This window comes from Homo sapiens, chromosome 1, assembly GCF_000001405.40.
Source record: "Homo sapiens chromosome 1, GRCh38.p14 Primary Assembly".
Classification (NCBI taxonomy): Eukaryota; Metazoa; Chordata; class Mammalia; order Primates; family Hominidae; genus Homo; species Homo sapiens.
The window spans coordinates 224,301,653-224,323,651 of NC_000001.11; the positions used below are offsets into that span (position 1 = coordinate 224,301,653).

A 21,999-nucleotide genomic window follows, 5' to 3' on the forward strand; every position below is an offset into this window, starting at 1 on the left:
AGCCAGGCATGCTGATGCATGCCTGCAGTCCCAGTTACCTGTGAGGCTGAGGCAGGAGGATCATTTGAGCCTGAGAAGTCAAAGCTGCAGTGAGCTGTGATCATGCCACTGCACTCAGCCTGGGCAACAGAGAGAAAATCTGTTTCAAAAAAAAAAAAAAAAAAAAAAAGAGAGAAGAGAGACTACTGTTCTCCCATTCTTGTGCTTATCTTGAAATTTCACTTCCTCAACCATACCTTCCTTGAACCCAACTCTAATTTGGGAATCCTAACATACCACATACCATTTTGCACTTCTTCTTGTCTTCCATTTATTATAGTCATTATTATGTACAGCATTTATTTATATGAATGACTGTTTAATGTCTCTCTCATATTAGAACTACGATTGTGGTACTTAACACTATATTCCAAAGTCTGGCATGCAGTAGTCAGTCATGTAATGGAATTATTAAACAAAAATGAAGCAAACCAATCAAGTCCCCCTTTACAAATGATTTTCTTTCATAGAACATTATTGTATTAGCGCTTGGTATAACATGCTATTTTTCTTTTTTCTTTTTTTTTTGAGATAGAGTCTGGCTCTTGTTGCCCAAGCTGGAGTGCAATGGCATGATCTTGGCTCACCGCGACCTCCGCCTCCAGGTTCAAGTGATTCTCCTGCCTTAGCCCCCAAGTAGCTGGGATTGCAGGCATGCGCCACCACACCCGGCTAATTTTGTATTTTTAGTAGAGATGGGGGTTTCTCCATGTTGGTCAGGCTGGTCTTGAACTCCCGACCTCAGGTGATCCACATGCCTCGGCCTCCCAAAGTGCTGGGATTACAGGCATGAGCCACTGCGCCCGGCGAGCATGCTATTTTTCTAATCGAAGTTACTCGGATATTTTACATTACTGTCCCCTACAGTTTCTGAAAAATCTGAGAGGGTTAAAATAAGATTGCTAACTTTTAATTTCTCAAAGTAAGTGTCTATTATTACCATTTTAGAAAGAATTATTTTAAAACTAAAAAGTATAAGAACATGACTCTAAATAAAAATTTTGAATAAATTTAGCTATATGAAAAATAATATAACCCTAGTTTTCTTATTTTACTGCTCCTTAGAACCACTGGGAGGGCAGGTGCAGTGGCCCATGCCTGTAATCCCAGCACTTTGGAAGACTGAGACAGGAGGACTGCTTGAGGCCAGGAGTTTAAGACCAGCCAGGCAACATAGTGGGCTTCGTCTCTACAAAAAAACAAAAACATAAGCTGGGCGTGGTGGTATGTGTCTGTGTTTCCAGTTACTCGGGAGGCTGAGGTGGGAGGACCACTTGAGCCTGGGAAGTTGAGGCTGTAGTGAGCCATGATTGCACCATTGCACTCCAGCCTGGGTGACAGTGAAACTCTGTCTCAAAAAAATAAGTAAACTGAAATAACTATTGGGTTAAAGGGAAAGCAAAGTAACTAAAATGTAAGCTATGTGTTAATAAAAAGGTTTGTTTAAAACCGTATTATTATGGCCGGGTGCGATGACTCACACCTGTAATCCTAGCACTTTGGGAGGCTGAGGCAAGTGGACTGCCTGACCTCAGGAGCTCAAGACCAGCCTGGGCAAGAGGGTGAAACCCCGTCTCTACTATAATACAAAAAATCAGCCGGGCGTGGTGGCGTATGCCTGTAGTCCCAGCTACTGGGGAGGCTGAGGCAGGAGAATTGCTTGAACCCGGGAGGCGGAGGTTGCAGTAAGCCAAGATCACGACACTGCATTCCAGCCTGGGTGACAGAGTGAGACTCTGTCTCCAAAAAAAAAAAAACTGTATTATTTTACTTTTTATCTAACTCTTGCCATATAAACAATTACATACATTAAAAAAAAAAATCCCTCAAGTTGCTCGTGAGAAACAATAAATAAACTAAATGAATAAATTCCACAAATAATACCAGCATGATAACAAAGGGATCAGTTCCAATGACTATGTTCTCTTCCTGAAGAATGCCATGTCTGGTTTAAGTTGACCAAAGAGAAAAAACAAAAACAAATAATAACAACAAAAACAGCAAAAGCAAACAAATGTCAGCAAGCCTCACCCCAGCAATTGCATGTGCAAGTAATGTCTTCCCACAGCCTGGTGGTCCATGAAGGAGAACTCCACGAGGGGGCACGACGCCCAGGTGGTGGTACACCTCCGGGTGACGCATGTGTATGAGCATCTTGCAGACCTCCTAGCAGAGGATAAGCACAAAGATGTCTTTCAAGACAGAACAATCAAAGTAGAATGAAATGTCCTATTTTTCGGAGCAGTGAAATGGAGTAGATAGGTAGAATATACACCTTAGACTTAGATCAGACTTTGAATCCTGGCTCTGGTACCTACTGTGTGATTTCAGCAATAACCTCTCTGAGGAGCTATTTCCTAAGCTGTAACATTATATACCTTGAGGATGTAATGCAAAGTTAACTAGCATGGCAGATGAAAAAGAGTAGGCATTAAAAATAAAGTTACCATTACGGCCAGGCATGGTGGCTCACGCCTGTAATCCCAGCACTTTGGGAGGCTGAGGTGGGCAGATCACGAAGTCAGGAGATCAAGACCATCCTGGCCAACATGGTGAAGCCCTGTCTCTACTAAAAATACAAAAATTAGCTGGGCGTGGTGGCACATGCCTGTAAACCCAACTACTCGGGTGGCTGAGGCAGAAGAATCTCTTGAACCTGGGAGGCGGAGGTTGCAGTGAGCCAAGATCGCGCCACTGCACTCCAGCCTGGTGACAGAGCTACACTCCTTCTCAAAATAAATAAATAAAATAAAATAAAAAATAAATAAAAATAAAGTTACCATTACTATTAGTATTGCTAAGACAATATTACTTATAAAGCATGGATCTTATATATACTATAATTAAAATAATAGAAAAGTTCAAAATAGTATGCATCTTTTCTCCTGCAATGCCCTAAAGGGTACAGGTCAGGTTTGCCCTTCTCAACCTTCCCAGTTTCCTTTTCTACACCCAGATCATATTAGAAACAAAGAGGTAGGCTTTTTCCTCATAACTGATTAGTAATATATCCATTTGAGGTAAAATTCAGAATTTGCACTAACTTTTAATGTCATATCATTGCCTCCCACATCTTCAAACTTCACGTTGGAGATCTGGAATTCTAACCCCCTGGCTTTAGCTGGTAAACAAAAATGAGGAGATGAAAAGATTAATGATTCAGTAGTAACTCATAATTATAATGAATAGTCTTTAAGTAAACAAAGGTCCATTAAATATAGAAATATTTCCTGGTAAACATTTCTGCACATAGAAGGTCCCTCAAGCAAAATAGCTTGGGACAGAATGATGCTTCTCTCACTGCAAACATGACCACTGCCACCAACAAGACTCACACCTTACCTTTCTTTTGCAGGACAGCTTCAATTTCTCCATCTACTTCCTGAAGATCTTCTTTCTTCCTTTTGCTTCCTTTATTCTTTAGCTTGCCTTTCCGTTTCATATCACTCTCCAAAAGAGAAGAATCTTTTGAATCCTGGAAAGAAAATAAATTTAAATATGCCATGCTTAAAATTCTATGCCAATAATTGTTTTACTTTTTAAAGAGGGGCATTGTAAAGAAAATTCATTCCTGCCCTAGCACTTTCACCTCTGTTAACTATTCCCAATCTCTTTGCTCAAAGATGCTGTCTATTGTGAAAGTCCTTCTCCTCATTCCCTTAAAGCTCAGTTTAAATCTTAACATTTGGTGCTGGCCTTGGCAGCACATATACTAAAATTGGAATGATACAAAGATTAGCATGGCCCCTGTGCAAGGATGACATGGAAATTTGTGAAGCATCCCATATGGGGAAAAAAAAAAAAAGAAAAAAGAAATCTTAACATTTGAATGCCGCTTCTTTTCCAGATTCTTTCAGTTAGAGTTTGTTTTTGTTTTTGTTTTGAGACAGAGTTTCAGTCTTGTCACCCAGGCTGGAGTGCAACAGCGCGATCTCAGCTCACTGCAACCTCCACCTCCTAGGTTCAAACAATTCTCCTGCCTCAGCCTCCCAAGTAGCCCACCACCATGCCCAGCTAATTTTTATATTATCAGTAGAGATGGGGTTTTGCCATGTTGGCCAGGCTGGTATCGAACTCCTGACCTCAGGTGATCTGCCCACCTCAGCCTCCCAAAGTGCTGGGATTACAGGCGTGAGCCGCCCTGCACGGCCCTCTTTCAGTTAGATTTAATCTTGTCCTCACATTCCCAAGACACTGCATTTGCAGCTATTATCAGTTGGAATAATCTGCCTTGTATGAGTGATTCACTTATCTCTGTCTTTCTCACTGAATTGTGAGCTCCTTGATTAAGGACACTGATATTTGCCTTTTATTTCTCACTGAGTCTTCTATATAGTTGTCTTCATCTGACAGCTGATGATTCACTAAATTAAATATAACTACAGAGCTGCTTTGACAGTCATAACAAAGTGTAATTCAGCCAAGCACACTGGGACACACCTGTAGCCCCAGCTACTTGAGAGGCAGAAGGACCACTTGAGCTCAGGGTTTCAAGGCTATAGTGTTCTGTGATCAAGCCTGTGAAAAGTGACTGCACTCTAGCCTGGGTGATGTAGCAATATTCCAACTCTTAAAAAAAAATTTTTTTTTTTTGAGACGGAGTCTCGCTCTGTCACCCAGGATGGAGTGCAGTGGCACGATCTCAGCGCACTGCAAGCTCCGCCTGCCGGGTTCACGTCATTCTCCTGCCTCAGCCTCCTAAGTAGCTGGGACTACAGGCGCCCGCCATGACGCCTGGCTAACTTTTTGTATTTTTAGTAGAGACAGGGTTTCACTGTGTTAGCCAGGATGGTCTCAATCTCCTGACCTCATGATCTGCCCGCCTTGGTCTCCCAAAGTGCTGGGAATACAGGTGTGAGCCACTGCACCCGGCCAAAAAAAATTGTTTTTAAGTATGATTCAGGCTGAGGTGGGTGGATCACTTGAGCTCAGGAGTTCAAGACCAGTCTGAGCAACATGGCCAAACGCCATCTCTACAAAAAATACAAAACTTAGCCAGGTGTGGTGGTGGGCACCTGTAGTCCCCAGCTACTTGGAAGACTGAGGTGGGGGGATGGCTTATGCCCAGGGGGTGGAGGTTATAGTGAGCCGTGATCATGCCACTCCACCATGTCAGTCTGGGTGACAAGGCAGACCCTGTCTCAAACCAAAAAAAGTATTTCAGCATTAAGACTCGAGTTCTTGCCAACCATAACAATGTTCCCTATAGATGGATGATATGGATAATTAAAGCAAAGAGATTTGGAAAGGCCTATTAATAAATAAAAAGGGGAAAGGTTCTGCCAAATCAAAGGGCTTGGTTCTTAGAAATCAGTTGAAGCATCATTGTCCATGAGGAATATGTGAGCCACATATGAAATTCATTTAATAATCTATTTTACTTAACCCAGTATATCCAAAATATTATCATTTCAACAGTCAATATAAAATATTATTAATGAGATGTTTTACATTCTATTTTTTTAGTGAGTCTTCAAAGTCTAATGTACACTTTAAGTTAATAGCACATCTCAATTTGGACCCTAAATTTTCATGGGAAACACCTGATTTGTACTTAGAGTTTGTAAAATTTACAGCTGAGGAAATAGATTCACATACCTAACAGGGTGGTAGGAGATGAAACTGAAAAGAAAGTCAGGCAGCGAAATCATAAAGGACGTTAGTGGCTGTCACAGGCCTTTGGATTTGAAACTGAATGAAGCCACTGGAGGGTTTTAAATAGAAGAATGATAATATGTGGTGGCTCACGCCTACAATCCCAGAACTTTGGGAGTCCGAGGCGGGTGGATTGCTTGACCCCAAGAGTTCAAGACCAGCTTGGGCAACCCTGCAAAACACCATCTCTAGAAAAGATATAAGTTAGCTAGGTGTGGTGGCACATGCCTGTAGTCTTAGTTACATGGGAGGCTGAGGTGGGGGATGGCTTGAGCCTGGAAGGCAGAGGTTGCAATGAGCCAAGATCACACCACTGCACTCCAGCCTCAGCGACAGAGCCAGACCCAGTCTCAAAAAAAAAAAAAAAAAAAAAAAGCTATCTCTCTGTGTAAAGAATAAACTAGGGGAACAAGAAAGGACACAGACTCCAGCTAGAAGGCTGTTTCAATAATTAAGTCAAGAATGAGAAAAGGCTTAGACTAGGATAGAAAGAATGGAAAGCAGTGCAATGTGATCAAATTCTCCATATATTTTAAAGTTCCTATGCCTTCCACAAAACACAAGTATCTGATTGATATTATATTCAACTAAAAGGTTGAAATGTACTTCGATGATATGGGGCTAAAATTTCATTACAAAAATACCTGTATCTCAGTTATTGGCTTCTTAGGATTACTTTTCTCACATGACAGGTCCAAGAAAAAACTGTCTTTCTTTACACTTGGGGTTTTGTCAATAAACCATCCTCCTTCAGAATCTTTGGCAGGGGTCTTCAAGGGAATGGAGCCTGTTTTGGAACTTATCCGTGGTGTTGAAGAGGTGGTTTCTCTTTGCTCCATCTCAGGAGTATTTGAAACAGAATCAGGATTTCCTTTCCGATATAAAGACAGCAGGGAACTGTTCATGTGATTTGCTGACTGGCAGAAAGATAAAACAAAATTGTAGCATAAATTACTCAACAGGTACTCATAAAAGTTGTATTGCCTATAGTAATAAGTTTTCTATATTTTGTTTTTTAACAACTTCTCTCAGAACATTTATAATCAGAATATATAGGTGTTAGGCTGGGCACAGTGGCTTATGCCTGTAATCCCAGCACTTTGGGAGGCCGAGGTGGGCAGATCACTTGAGGTCAGGAGTTCAAGACCAGCCTAGCCAACATGGTGTAACACCGTCTCTAGTAAAAATACAAAAATTAGCCGGGCGCAGTGGTAGGCACCTGTAATCCCAGCTACTTGGGAGGCTGAGGCAGGAGAATCACTTGAACCCAGCAGGCGGAAGTTGCAGTGAGCCGAGATCACACCACTGCACTCCAGCCTGGGTGACAGAGTGAGACTCCATCTCAAAAAAAAAAAAAAAAAGAAAAGAATATATGGGTGTTCACAATAAGATGACTCACAAACAAGCATTTACTATTCAAAAAGACTTCACTCGGCCGGGCGCAGTGGCTCACGCCTGTAATCCCAGCACTTTGGGAAGCCGAGGCGGGCGGATCACGAGGTCAGGAGATCAAAACCATCCTGGCTAACACGGTGAAACCCTGTCTCTACTAAAAATACAAAAAATTAGCCAGGCGTGATGGCGGACGCCTGTAGTCCCAGCTACTCGGGAGGCTGAGGCAGGAGAATGGCGAGAACCCGGGAGGCGGAGCTTGCAGTGAGCCGAGATCACGCCACTGCACTCCAGCCTGGGTGACAGAGCGGGACTCTGTCTCAACAAAAAAAAAAAAAAAAAAAGACTTCACTCCATTCCAATGGAAACCAATTCATAATTGGTGGTTAAATAAAATAAAGTAAGTATGGTTGCTTCGAAAAAAAATACACTAAAGAAGTATGAAAATGAGCTGGTTGCCAATGAGAGTCACTGTTATTCCATCAAAGCAAAATTGGGACTGGGCGTGGTAGCTCACGCCCTGTAATCCTAATGCTTTCGGAGGCCAAACTGGGAGAACTGCTTGAGGCCTAGAGTTCGAGACCATCCTGGGCAACACAGCGAGACCCTGTGTCTACAAAAAATTTAAAATTTACCCAGGCATGGTGGCACATGCCTGTTATCCTAGCTACTTGGGAGGCTAAGGTAGGAGGACAACTTGAGCCCAAGAGTTTGAGGTTGCAGTGAGCTAGGACCATGCCACTGTACTCCAGCCTGGGTGACAGAGCGAGACCCTGTCCCCGTGAAAACTGGATCAAATATTTTGATAATATATTCAAAACTTATATACCAAGGGAAAAAATAAAAAGCAAATTATAAATAATTTGACAAACAGTTGGCCCTCTATATCCAAGGGTTCTGCATCCAGGGATTCAATGAACCTCAATGGAAAATATTTGGGAAATAAAAAGCAATTAAAAAACACAGTACACCAATAAAAATAATACAAATTTTAAGAAATAAAGTGTATGCTGGGCATGTTGTCTCATGTCTGTTATTCCAGCACTTTGGGAGGCCAAGGTGGGTGGATCACTCAAGGCCAGGAGTTCAAGACCAGCCTGGCCAACATGGTGAAACCACATCTCTACTAAAAATGCCAAAAAGTAGCTAGGTGTGGTGGCGCACACCTTAATCTCAGCTACTCAGGAGGCTGAGGCACGAGAATCACTTGAACTTGGGAGGCAGAGGTTGCAGTGAGCCGAGATGACACCACTGAACTCCAGCCTGGGTGACAGAGCGAGACCCTGCCTGTAATTCCAGCTCCTCAGGAAGCTGAGGCAGGAGAATCACTTGAGCTGGGGAGGTGGAGGCTGCAGTGAGCCGAGATCGCACCACTGCACTCCAGCCTCGGTGATCACACCACTGCACTTCAGCCTGGGCGACAGAGTGAGACTCCCTCGCAAAAAAAAAAAAAAAAAAAGAAAGAAATATAGTGTAAAAACTATTTACATCTCATTTACATTGTATTATTACAAGTAATCCAGAGATAATTTAAAGTATACAAGAGGATGTATATAACGTTATATGCAAACATGATGCCATTTTATGTAAGGGACTTGAGCATTTGCAGGTATTCATGTGGGGCTCTGGGGCCAATCCCCCATGGATAGTGAGGGCCGACTATATTATCTCCATATTCTCCTTTAATCAAGCCTTTTCATTACTAATGCCATCTCCTTGACAAAAAGTATATCCCTTTTTCCATTTTTACTATTAATTACTCTATTCTTGTCTGCCCTTATTTCTAGCTATTCTCTTCCCTTCTTTTTCCTTGTATAACTGACTTATAAACATAAATACTGGAAGGATGGTTAATCCATCACCAACACTGAACACAGAAAGTGTTCAATTATTTATTGATGAAGACTTCCGAAGTCTCTTATTCTATTCCCTGTCCTTCCTTTCTCCCTCCCTTTAGCCCTAACCCTTTTTTTTCTTTCCCTCTTTCTTTCCTTCTCCTCTCTCTCTCTCTCTTTTGCAATAAGGTCTGTCGCCCAGGCTGAAGTGGAATGGCACAATCATAGCTCACCGCAGCCTCAAACTCCTGGGCTCAAGCGATCCTCCAGCCTCAGCCTCCTGAGTAGCTAGGACTATGGGTGTATGCCACCAGATCCAGCTAATTTTTATTTGTTTTTTGTAGAGACAGAGTCTTGCTAGGTTGCCTAGGCTGGTCTTAAACTCCTGGCTTCAAGTGATCTTCCTGCCTCAGCCTCCCAAAGTGCTGGGATTACAGACGTGAGCCATAACCCCTGGCCTTTTATTCTATTCCTTACTGATTTTTATTTATTTATTTTTTTGGAGACAGGATCTGGTTTTGTTGCTCAGGCTGGAGTGCAGTAGTGCAATCCCAGCTCACTGCAACCTCTGCAACCTGGGCTCAAGTGATCCTCCCACCTCAGCTTCCTGAGTAGCTGGGACCACAGGTGCAAGCCATTACACCTGGCTAATTTTGGGGGGTTTTTTGGTAGAGATGGGGTTGTGCCATGTTGCACAGGCTGGTCTCAAACTCCTGGGCTAAAGTGATCCACCCTCCTTGGCCTTCCAAAGTGCTGGGATTACAGGCGTGAGCCACGACAGCTAGCCTTATTTTTTTTTTTAAAAGGTAGGGTCTCACTCTGTCACCCAGGCTGGAGTGCAGTGGTGCAATCACGGCTCACTGCAGCTCACTACAGCCTTGACCTCCTGGGCTCAAGTGATTCTCCCACCTCAGCCCCCCAAGTAGCTGGGACCACAGGTGCATGCCACCATGCCCGGCTAACTTTTGTATTTTTTGTAGAGACAAGGTTTCACCATGTTGGCCAGACTTATTTTTTCATACTTTTTATAGAGACAAGGTTTTGCCATGTTGCCCAGGCTGGTCTCAAATTCCTGGGCTCAAGTGATCTGCATGCCTCAGCCTCCCAAAGTGTTGGGATTAGAGGTGTGAGTCACCATGTCCAGCTAATACTGAGTTTTTCAAGGGAGGTACCATAACAACTAAAAAAGAAAAAATCTAAGTGGACCCACTAAATGTTTGGCTTACCTGTGGATCTGGGTAGTCTTCCATACTTGAATCATCATCAGAATAGCTTTCAGTATACCTCAGTAAAAGGAGGGAAAAATGTTTTAAAGACTTTCTCTCCCATATCCTAAAAAAATGACTACCCAAAACAAGTAAATATATTCAGCCAAAAGATTATGGTGGTTAAGAGTCCAAACTCTGGAATCAGAGAAACTAGGATTCAAAATCCAACTTAACCAGTTATTACTTAACCTCTCTAAGCGTCAGCTTCCTTATCTATAAAACGGAGATTTAATAAGTAATGTCTGTCTCCCAGGGTTATTAAAGGATTAAATAAACACTTGCAAAGTCCTTATGCATTTACAAAATATAATAAATGCAAAATAAATTATAGTTATATTTATCCTAGCAATAAATAAAAGTGAGATACAAATTCCCTCAGGCCCAAGGGTCCCATTTAGGGATATCAGATTCAGGTAGAGGAAATATTTCAGCAACCTATAATTAAGTACTCTGAGTAACAAATTCACAAAGTCAACATGACCAAAGCATGTAACCAAATACAACTTCTGCAAGACTGTTCATGAGGGATGAAGGAGCAAATAAATTTCCTGTATCAAAAAAGAGGTATAAAGCCTAATAAACTACAAGCTGAGAATGTAGTCTTAATTCATTATAACTGAAAGTTGTTATCTAATAGCTTCAAGTAACTTCAGGACACTGCTAGTATTTAATACTTCTTTGGAAATTATTTAAATAGGCCCGGCATGGTGGCTCACGCCTGTAATCCCAGCACTTTGGGAGGCCGAGGTGGGTGGATTACCTGAGGTCAGGAGTTCGAGACTAGCCTGGCCAACATGGTGAAACCCCGTCTCTACTAAAAATACAAAAATTAGCCAGGTGTGGTGAAAATACGCCTGTAATCCCAGCTACTCGGGAGGCTGAGGCAGGAAAATTACTTGAGCCCGGGAGACGGAGGTTGCAGTGAGCCAAGATCGTGCCACTACACTCCAGCCTGGCCCACAGTACGAGACTCTGCCTAAAAAAAAAAAAAAAACTATTTAAATAAGAAAAAAAAAAAGCCCTTTTCTTATTTAAATAATTTTTTTTTTTTTTTAGGTAGAAAGCTTTATATGAATGCAATGAAATGCTGTTATAATTAAGATATTAAGATACAAATTCTAGCCTGGGCAACTAAGGGAGACTCTGTCTCTACAAAAAAATTAAAAAATTAGCTGGGCATGCTGGCACACACCTGTAATCCCAGCTACCTGTGAGGCTGCGGTGGGAGGATCGCTTGGGCCTGGGACGTCAAGACTGCGGTAAGCCATGATTGTGCCAGTGCACTGAAGCCTGGGTGACAGAGCGAGACGCTGTCTCAAAAAAAAAAAAAAAAAAAAAACAAGCAAATTCTGTATTCATTAAAATTAATCAGCATTACTTGGGAGCAATTCTAATCAATGTAAATAAGGTATATCATTCAACTATTTGAAAAAAAAAAAAGTTTTGCCTTACAACTCATGCCCTAAAAAAAGAAAAAAAAAATTCCAAGTGGATTAAAGAGTTAAACATAAAGAAAGAAGAAAAAAGTGTAAGTAATTATTTTACACACTCTTGTGAGAGAGGTCTTTCTAAGCATATCAGCATAAAACAAAAGGAAAAAGACTGATAGATTTGACTACATAAAAATGCAAAACTTCTCTAATCAAAAGATGGTGCAAGCGAAAATTAAAAAAGAAGTGGCAACATGGGGAAAGCAGTTGTAATGCATATAAAGAGGTATTATTTTATGCAAAACCCTCTGACAACTAATAAGGAAAATGCAAATACCTCTCAAATGAAATAGAAAAAACTCCATAAGCAAGCAATTCGCAAAACAAATATGAAATAACAAAAAAACTAACCTCAATAATTATAAAATCACAAATAAAAATATGATCAAGGCCAGAGGCGGTGGCTCAAGCCTGTAACCCCAGCACTTTGGGAGGCCAAGGTGGGCGGATCGCCTGAGGTCAGGAGTTCGAGACCAGCCTGGCCAACATGGTGAAACCCTGTCTCTACTAAACATACAAAAATTGGCCAGCAGTGGTGGTGGGTGCCTGTAATCCCAACTACTCGGGAGGCTGAGGCAGGAGAATTGCTTGAACCTGGGAGGCAGAGGATGCAGTGAGTCGAGATCGCACCACTGGACTCCAGCCTGGGTGACAGAGCGAGATTCTGTCTCAAAAAAAGAAAAAATATATATGATCAATATTTTGCCTATAAAAACAGCAAAGATTAAATTATAGTATAACAAAGATTGCAGGGATGCAGAGAAATGTGCCCTTTATACAAAGTTGTTGGGAGTATAAACTGAGGCAACCTTTTTAGGAAGGTAAGTCCAAATGCACTGGAAATCTCAAAAATATAAATCTTTGACCCCAGAAATTCCACCTCAAAAATTCAACATAAAAAAGTGATGTGTACAAAGATATATGCAGTAAAGCAGTAAAGAGTTATTTATTATGCAATAGTGTAACACAAATAAATATCCATGAATATGGAACTGGTTAAGAAAATTATGATAAATCTAAATGAAAAAGGCTGAGCTACAAACAGTAAAATGGGGCTATCACCCCAAATCCTGTAGACATTAAAAGGATAACAAGAGAATATTGCAGAAGCATTATGCCACCAAATTCCACACCTGAGAGAAAATGAACAAATGATTAAAAAATACAATTTATCACAATTGACATAAGGAGAGATGTAAGGAAGAGCTGTATATCTAGCAAAATTAAAATTTATCGAAATCCTTCAGAAAAAGAAGACTCGGGGGGAAGTTGACTCTAGGCCTAGAAAAACTGTGGTCGAACACTAACAAATATTCAAAAAAGAATTTCCATAATGTGTTTTCATAAAATAGAGAACAAAAGAACACTTTCCCACTAATATCATGAGGCCGGTGTAACCCTAACACCAAAATATGACAGACATTCCAAAAATGAACAAAAGAAAATTCAGACCAATATGACATACAGATGCAAACATCTGTAGAAAAAGATTAGTAAATCGAATCCAATTAATACCCTTTTTTTCAAAAATTAGCCGGGCATGGTGGCATGTGCCTGTAATCCCAGCTACTCAGGAGGCTGAGGCAGGAGAATGGCTTAAACCCGGGAGGCGGTGGTTGCAGCGAGCTGAGATCACGCTATTGCACTCCAGCCTGGGCGACAAGAGTGAGACTCCATCTCAAAAAAACAACGTCAAACAAATACTCTTTACAAATAACTCTGTTTCTTTTTTTTTTTTTTTAGAGACAAGGCCTCACTCTCTCACCCAGGCTGGAGTGCAGTGGCATAATTATAGCTCATTGTAACCTTCAACTCTGGGGCTCAAGCAATCCTCCTACCTCAACTTCCAAAGAAGCTGGGATAGAACCATGCACCACTATGCCTGGCTAATTTTTAAATTTTCTGTAGAGACAGAGTCTTGCTGTGTTGCCCAAGCTGCCAACAATACATTAAAAAGATAACATATCAGGACCAAGTAGAGTTTATCCCCAGGAGGCAAGATTGGCTTAATACTGGGAACCAATGTAATTCATCAAATTAATAGACTAAAGGGGAAAGGCCATAATGAGAAATTTCAACAGATGCAGAAAAGCATTTGACAAATGCAATACCTATTCATGACAAAAATTCTCAGCAATCTAGGAATATTAGGAAACTTCCTCAATCTGACAAAGGACATCTACAAAAAAACCTAAAGCTAATGTCATATTTACAGTGAAACACTACTGAAAATTAAACACTGACCATAACAAATATCAGCAATTTGTGGAAAGAGTAGAATTCTCATAAACTGCTAATGTAAAAGTAAAATGGTATAAAGACATTGGAAAATAGTTTGGCAATTTCTTAAATATGCATCTATCACACGACCCAGCTATTCTAATCTTAGATATTTAACAAGGGAAATGAAAATACTGTCCACACAAAGACCTGGCTTTAGGCAACCATTGATTTGCTTTCTGTCACTATATGTTACATTGCATTTTGTAGAATTTTATGAGCATAAATGTTCATAGCAGCTTAATTTGTAATAGCCAGAAACTGGAAACAAACCAACTGCCCAACAAGAGATAAACAGATAGGTCAGGCAAGGTGGTTCACACCTGTAATCCCAGCATTCTGGGAGTCCGAGGCAAGAGGATTGCTTGAGCCCAGGGGTACAAGACCAGCCTGACAACATAGTGAGACCCCCATTTCTACAAAAAATTAGAAAATTAACTGGGCATGGTAGCATGCACCCGTATGGGAGAATCGCCTGAGCCCAGGAGGTAGAGGCTGCAGTGAGTTATGATATGCCTCTCCACTACATTCCAGCCTGAGCAACAAAGTGAGACTCTGTCTCAAAAAAAACAAACAAAAAAACAGATAAATAGATAAAATAATTGCAGCATGTCCATACATACTTATCAATAAAAAGCAATGAACTATTGATACACACAACATTGATAAATCTCAAAATCATGCTAAGTGAAAGAATGAAAGAATCCAGACTTTAAAAGTATGATTCCAAATAAAATTCTACAAAATGCAATGTAACATACAGTGACAGAAAGCAAATCAATGGTTGCCTAAAGCTGGGTGCTGTGGCTCGCACCTATAATCCCAACACTTTGGGAGGATGAGGCGGGCAGACTGCTTGAGCCCAGGAGTTTGAGACCAACCTGGGCAACATGGCAAAACCCCATTTCTACGAAAAATTAGCTAGGTGTGGTAGCATGTGCCTGCAGCTACTTGGGAGGCTGAAGGAGAAGAATCAAGTAACCTGGGAAGTCAAGGCTGCAATGAGCTGTGATCGCACTCCAGCCTGGGTGACAGAGTAAAACCCTGTCTCAAAAAAAAAAAAAAAAGAAAAAGAAAAAAGTTTGCCTAGAAGCAGGGGTGGAGGGAGAAATGAATTGCAAAGCGGAACAAGAAGACTTTTGATATTTATGGAAAGGTTCAGTATCTTGCTTATGGTGATAGTTCAGTGAGTATATCTATATGTCAAAACTTAACAAATTGTACACTTTAAAAATGAAGAGGTTGGCCAGGCGCAATGGCTCACGCCTGTAATCCCAGCACTTTGGGAGGCCAAGATGTGCGGATCACTAGAAGTCAGGAGTTCGAGACCAGCCTGGCCAACATGGTGAAACCCCGTCTCTACCAAAAATATAAAAAATTAGCCGGGTGTGGTGGCACATGACTGTAATCCCAGCTACTTGGGAGGCTGAGGCAAGAGAATCGCTTGAACCCGGGGGGCAGAGGTTGCAGTGAGCCGAGATGGTGCCACTGCACTCCAGCCTGGGTGACAGAGTGAGACTTAATCTCAAAAGAAAAAAAAAAAAAAAAGTAGAGCTTACTGATGTCAATTATACCTCAATAAAGCTATTTTTTAAACTCTCAATACTATTTCTTAAACAAAATTAATCAGCACCTTTTTATATATCTGATATTGTATTAGGGCAGAAAAAGAAGGTAATGAGACAGTACTGTTGGTAATGCAAACAAGTAAGCAAATAATTTCAATGCCGTATGATATGATAAGGATTATAACAAATATCTGTAACTAGAAGCTAAGGAAACATTTAAAAAGGGGTCTTAGGCCTAATAAAGGCAGTAACATTTCAACTGATTCTTGAGGGCTGTGTGGGAGTTTGTGAAAGGGAAATGACACTCTAACTCAATAAAACCACCCATACAAAGGCACAGCCAAAGAGAATTTGATCTCTTTGGGGAATAAAGAACATTCAATATGGCTGAAGAGGTTAGGTAAATATCACGCAGGGCTTTGTTGGCAATGAAGAGCCACTGAAAGTTTTACAAGCAGGAATGTAACATGATAAAGTTCATGGTTTAAAAAAACCCTGCATTTGGTATACTTACTCATTATCCTCTTCACCTTGTCTTGCCCTTTTTGCCAAATGTTCATCTTCTAATTCTGTTAAATTCTTAAGTTCCTTCTCACTACTAATTATGCTAAATACTGAAACAAAAAGAAAAACGCTATGAGCTAAAACAATCGTTTGTATAACTTTATTGATAATTTAGCTCTAACAATAAGACTCACCTTTTTCTACCTGAATCCTAAAAGCATTTCTTTTTCTTCGACCATAGTCTATACTGAAAAAAGAAAACAAGAAGTTTACCATAGTAGTCTCCACCAATATTTTTCCATTAAGTTCAATCTAAATGGATCAAATAAATTTTCATGAATATTTCATTGTTACAGTATAGACACTTGCCATAACCCTATTTTCAAACTTCTAAGTTTATATATTTACTATTGTGACCTTTCTCCATTTTCCCCCTTTTTTAAACTAACCTTTTTTGCTTCAAATATTTTTATTTTAAAATTTCAAAGTTACTAAAAATATGAAAGAAATAATGTAATCAACACTCGTATATTCTTTACCTATAGTATTCTCAAACTGCCACATTTACTTTACTTCTGTCTACATATAGAGATTTCTTTTGGAGGGGTAGAGCAAAACCATTTGAAAATAAGTTCTAGGCCAGGCACAGTGGCTCATGCCTGTAATCCCAGCACTTTGGGAGGCTGAGGTGGGAGAATCACTTGAGCCTAGGAGTTTGAGACCATCCCTGCCAACATAGGGAAACCCTATCCCTACAAAATATTAAAAATTAGCCAGGTATGGTAGTACGTGGCTGTAGTCCCAGCTACTTGGGAGGCTGAGGTGGGAGAACAGCTTGAGTCTGGGAGGTGAAGGCTGCAGTGAGCCGTGATTGCGCCAATGCACTCAGCTTGGCCAACAGAGCAAGATCTCATCTCAAAAAAAATAATAAATTAAAAAACTAAGAAGAAGAAACTAAGTTACAGACCCTTCGTCTCAAAAATTCTCAGCATGTATCTCTTTAAAAAAGAATATCTGCAGCCAGGTGCGGTGGCTCACTCCTGTAATTCCAGAACTTTGGGAGGCTGAGGTGGGAGGATCATGAGGTCAGGAGATTGAGACCAGCCTGGCTAACACGGTGAAACCTCGTCTCTTCTAAAAATAAAAAAAAAAAAAATTAGCCAGGCGTGGTGGTGGGCGCCTGTAGTCCCAGCTACTGGGGAGCCTGAGGCAACAGAATGGCGTGAACCCAGGAGGCAGAGCTTGCAGTGAGCCAAGATCGTGCCACTGCACTCCAGCCTGGGCGACAAAGCGGGACTCCGTCTCAAAAAAAAAAAAAAAAATCAGCTGGGTGTGGTGGTGCACACTTGTGGTCCCAGTTACTTGGGAGGCTGAGGCAGGAGAATCCCATGAACCCAGGAGGCGGAGGTTGCAGTGAGCCGAGATCACACCACTGCACTCCAGCCTGGGGACAGAGCAAGACTCCGTCTCAAAAAAAAAAAAAAAAAAAAAAAGGATATCTGCATAGCTACAATACAATTAGCACAAATAAGAAATTTAATATTGATAAATTATCTAATATACAGTCCATATTAAAATTTCTCAAATTATTCCCAAAAAATGGTCTTTATAGTTGTTTTTCTTTCTTTCTTTTTGTTTTTTTGAAACGGAGTCTCGCTCTGTGGCCCAGGCTGGAGTGCAGTGGTGCAATCTCGGCTCACTGCAGACTCCGCTTCCGGGGTTCACGCCATTCTCCTGCCTCAGCCTCCTGAGTAGCTGGGACTACAGGCGCCTGCCACCACACCCGGCTATTTTTTTGTATTTTTAGTAGAGACAGGATATAGTTGTTTTTCTTTGACCCAGAGTCTAGTCAAGGTTCATGCATTTACTTGGTTGTTGTGTCTCTTTGGACTCTTTTAACTTGTAATAATCTCTTCACCTTTGTGCATGTAACACTGACATTTTTGAAGGATCCAGGCCAGCTAATTTATAAAATGTCCCACAATCTGAATTTATGTCTCCTCATTATTAAATTCAAGTTAAACATTTTTAGCAAGACCATCTGCTAAAAATATAGGTGAAAGTTTGATGAGTACAGGATATTTGTATAATCTGAAAATATATTCTTATAAATTATTTATTAATTTCAAATTAATTTACAGTGGATCGATCAAAACTAACATTACCGAATAACACCCCACACAGATATTCTGTGCCTTTTGAAGTCAAATTGCTTCTTTGGTTTTCCTTCCAAAAACATATAACCTGATTCCAACCATGTGAAAACAGCAGAAAAATCCAAATTGAGGGATATTCTATATAGTAACTACCTGTAATCTTCAAAAATGTAAAGATCATGAAAAACAAAAAAAGGTTGAGGAACTGTTGCAGATTAAAGGAAACTAAAAAGCAAAACAAGCATAATTTAGGGGCTGGATTTCAGTTCTGGAAAAAAAATTCCGATAAAATAATAGCTATAAAGAACATTATTGAGACAGGCAAACTCTGAATATGAATGGTGGATTCGATAATATTACTGAATCAAGATTACATTTTCTGGTTTTAATAAATAAACTGTGGTTATATAATAAAAGCCTTTGTCCTTAGGGAATAGATAGTATGCATGGATAAAGGGACATTCTAGGTAGAGTATATGGGTGTTCTTTGTACTATTTTTTCCATTTTCCTCTTTATAAAAATCTGTGCCAGCGCAGTGGCTCACACTTGTAATCCCAGTACTTTGGGAGGCCAAGATGGGCGGATCATTTGCGGTCAGGAGTTCGAAACTAGCCTGGCCAACATGGTAAAACCCCATCTCTACTAAAAATACAAAAATCAGCCAGGCATGGTGGTGGGTGCCTGTAATCCCAGCTACTTGGGAGGCTGAGGCAGGAGTATCACTTGAGCCCAGGAGGTGGAGGTTGCAGTGGGCAGACATCACACCACCACACTCCAGCCTGGGTGACTGAGTGAGACTCCATCTCAAAAAAAAAAAAAACTTTATGTTTTTGAGACAGGGTCTCACTCAGTCAGGCTGAAGTGTAGTTGTGCAATCAGAGCTTGCCACAACCTCAACCTCCTGGTCTCATGCAATCCTCCCACCCCAGCATCCGAGTAGGTACGATGACAGACACGTGCCAGCACACCTAGTTAATTTTTTGATTTTTTTTGCAGAGATGGGGGTCTCACTATGTTGTCTAAGCTCGTCTGGGTCAGTTTTTCTTAAATGTGAAATTACTTCAAAACACAAAGTTTTAGATGAGGCAAATATTGTACTAAATCATGACCATTTAAAAAGGCAACTTGGGGCCTGGCACGGTGGCTCATGCCTGGAATCCTAGCACTTTAGGAGGCTGAGGCGAGAGGATCACTTGAGCTCAGGAGTTCAAGGCCAGCTGGGCAACATGGCAAAACCCCATCTCTACAAAAAATACAAAGAATCAGCGGGGCATGGTGGCATGTGCCTTAGTTCCAGCCATCTGGGGGCTGAGGCAGAAGGATGAGCCCAGGGGGCTGAAGCTGCAGTGAGCCGAGATTGAGCCACTGCACTCCAACCTGGATGATAGAGCGAGACTGTGTCTCCAAAAAATAAATAAATAATTAATTAAAAATTAAACAAAGAGAGAAAGAAAGACGTAAAAGCGATTCTTCACTCATGAGCCATACAAAACAAGGTGGTAGGCAGGAACTGGTTTGAGGGCCATAGTTTGCCAACACCTGGATAAGAGAAGATGGCAGATGGATGTAGGCAGAATGTTTAAAAGCTGAAACAGGCCAGGTGTAGTGGCTCATGCCTATAATCCTAACACTTTGGGATGCCAAGGCAGGAGGATCACTTGAGGTCAAGAGTTCAAGACCAGACTGGCCAACATGGCGAAACCACATCTCTACTAAAAATACAAAAATTATTTTTAGTAATAATTTTTAAATAAATTTTAAATAAATTTTTAGGGTGTGGTGGTGTACACCTGTAGTCCTGGCTACTTGGGAGGCTGAGGCAGGAGAGTCACTTGAACCCAGGAGGCGGAGGTTGCAGTGAGCCGAGATTGCCCCGCTGCACTCCACCCTGAGCAACAGAGTAAGATTCCACCTCAAAAAAAAAAAAAAAAACTGAAACAGTAGTCTAGACAAGAAATAATGAGGCTCTGGATTAGGCTAGTATAGTAATGGTAGGGAAAGGAGAGAACAGGCATCATGAAATATTTAAGAGACCACAGCAAGGCTTCTTGGTGACTTATTATAGACATGGCAGGGGGATTCAAGGCTAGGTAGAAGGAAGTGGACAACATACAGATTAACCTGGGTGACTGGCTGAGTAACAGTCATACCACCAACTAAGAAAAAAGGTTACCAACAAAACACAACTCACAGATTTCAATGGAGTGAGTGGCGGGGATAGAAACAATCTTAGTTTAGTCTTTATTTTTATTTTTTAAGAGACAGGGTCTTGCTCTGTCACCCACGCTTCAGTGCAGCGGTGCAATCGTAGCTCACTGCAGCCTTGAATTCCTGGCCTCAAGTGATCCTCCTGCTTCAACTTCCTGAGTAGCTAAGACAGACTACAGGTGCATGCCACGCTAATTTTTTTTTTTTTTTTTTTTGGTAGAGACAGAATCTTGCTATGTTGCCCAGTCTGGTCTCAAACTCCTAGCCTCAAGCAATCCTCCTGTGTCAGCCTCTCTAAGTGCTGAAATTACAGGTGTGAGCCACTGTGCCCTGGCCTTAGACCACTCATTAAATAAATTCTGATCAGGGGAAGGAAAAATACTACTGAGTGGTAGCCAAAGTGAGGTATACTATTGTTTTAAAAAGCTTTCTGTCTTAGTTTCTCTTCTTTTCTTCCTTCCTAATACAGATTTTGGTATTGATAAGTATAGTGCTACTGTGACAAATACCTTAAAATGTAGAAATGGTTTCAGAACTAGGTAGTAGAGGCCAGAGAGTTTTGAGGTGCATGTTAGAAGAAACCTAGATGGCTCTGAAGTGACTGCTGTTAGAAATATGGACACCGCAGGGCGTGGTGGCTCATGCCTATAATCCTAGCATGTTGGGAGAATGAGGCGGGCAGATTGCCTGAGCTCAGGAGTTCAAGACCAGCCTGGGCAACACAGTGAAACCCTGTCGCTACTAAAATACAAAAAATTAGCCAGGCATGGTGGCGTGCACCCGTAGTCCCAGCCCCTCGGGAGGCTGAGGCAGGAGAATCGCTTGAACCAGGGAGGCAGAGGTTGCAGTGAGCTGAGATTGCGCCACTGCACTCCAGCCTGGGTGACAGAGTGAGACTCCATCTCCAAAAAAAAAAAGACACGGAAGGCAATTCTGGTAAGAGCTCAGAAAGACAAGAGAAGAGCTGTACAGGAAGGTTCTATAGTTATATACACACAGAGAGAGAATGCTATTAGAAATATGAATGTTAAAGATGCTTCTGGTGAGGTCTCAGACAGAAATGAGAAGCAGGATATTGGAAATTGGAAGAAAGGCAGTCCATGTTACGAAGTGGCAGAGGACTTGTGTTTTACTGTTTTAAAAGTAGAACTTGTAAGTGATGAATCTAGATATTTCACTCACATTTCCAAGCAAAGTGTTGAAGTGTGGCCTGATTTCTCCTTGCTGCTTATAGTAAAATTTTACAGTATAGAGAGACATAAAGAAGGAATTGTTCAACAAAAAGGAAACTAGAACCTGAAGATTGGAAAATTCTCAGTTTATCCATATTGTAAAAAATGAAAAAGCATAATCTAAAGAGAACATCAAGGGTGTGGGGGGACAACAATTTGCTAAAGCGATTACCAGCATATGACTTATGGATCCAGTCAGCCATCTTAGCAGAAGCCAGGAATAGACATGGGGTTAAAGCAACAGAAACACTGCCAGCTTGGACTGAAGGGACCGAGATGGGGACAAAATTAAGGAAGGCTGTTGGACTTCCAGGATTCTATAGGACAGGGCCAATAAAACCATCCAGTTGTGAACACAAGTTATCCTTCAA

General features: G+C 41.1%; 1 protein-coding gene and 1 pseudogene across 18 annotated transcripts in view; one reads left to right on the forward strand and one right to left on the reverse strand.

Annotated features, from left to right (window-relative positions):
* Positions 1-21,999, reverse strand: part of NVL (nuclear VCP like) — a 102,828-nt gene that overhangs the window by 74,308 nt on the left and 6,521 nt on the right. For 4 of the 18 annotated variants that reach the window (XM_017001378.2, XM_017001380.3, XM_017001384.2 and 1 more), the window contains exons 3-11: positions 16,226-16,278; positions 16,042-16,141; positions 11,398-11,499; positions 10,148-10,205; positions 6,339-6,611; positions 3,382-3,514; positions 3,084-3,160; positions 2,071-2,205; positions 39-119 (exon numbers count right to left, since the gene is read on the reverse strand). In XM_017001378.2, coding sequence (XP_016856867.1) covers positions 39-119; positions 2,071-2,205; positions 3,084-3,160; positions 3,382-3,514; positions 6,339-6,611; positions 10,148-10,205; positions 11,398-11,499; positions 16,042-16,141; positions 16,226-16,278 — 1,012 coding nt within the window. Of the gene's footprint in view, positions 1-38; positions 120-2,070; positions 2,206-3,083; positions 3,161-3,381; positions 3,515-6,338; positions 6,612-10,147; positions 10,206-11,397; positions 11,504-16,041; positions 16,142-16,225; positions 16,279-21,999 lie in introns of those variants that run through there. The other 14 variants (NM_206840.3, NM_002533.4, XM_047421631.1 and 11 more) reach the window with 7 other exon arrangements.
* Positions 3,728-3,831, forward strand: RNU6-1008P (RNA, U6 small nuclear 1008, pseudogene; annotated as a pseudogene).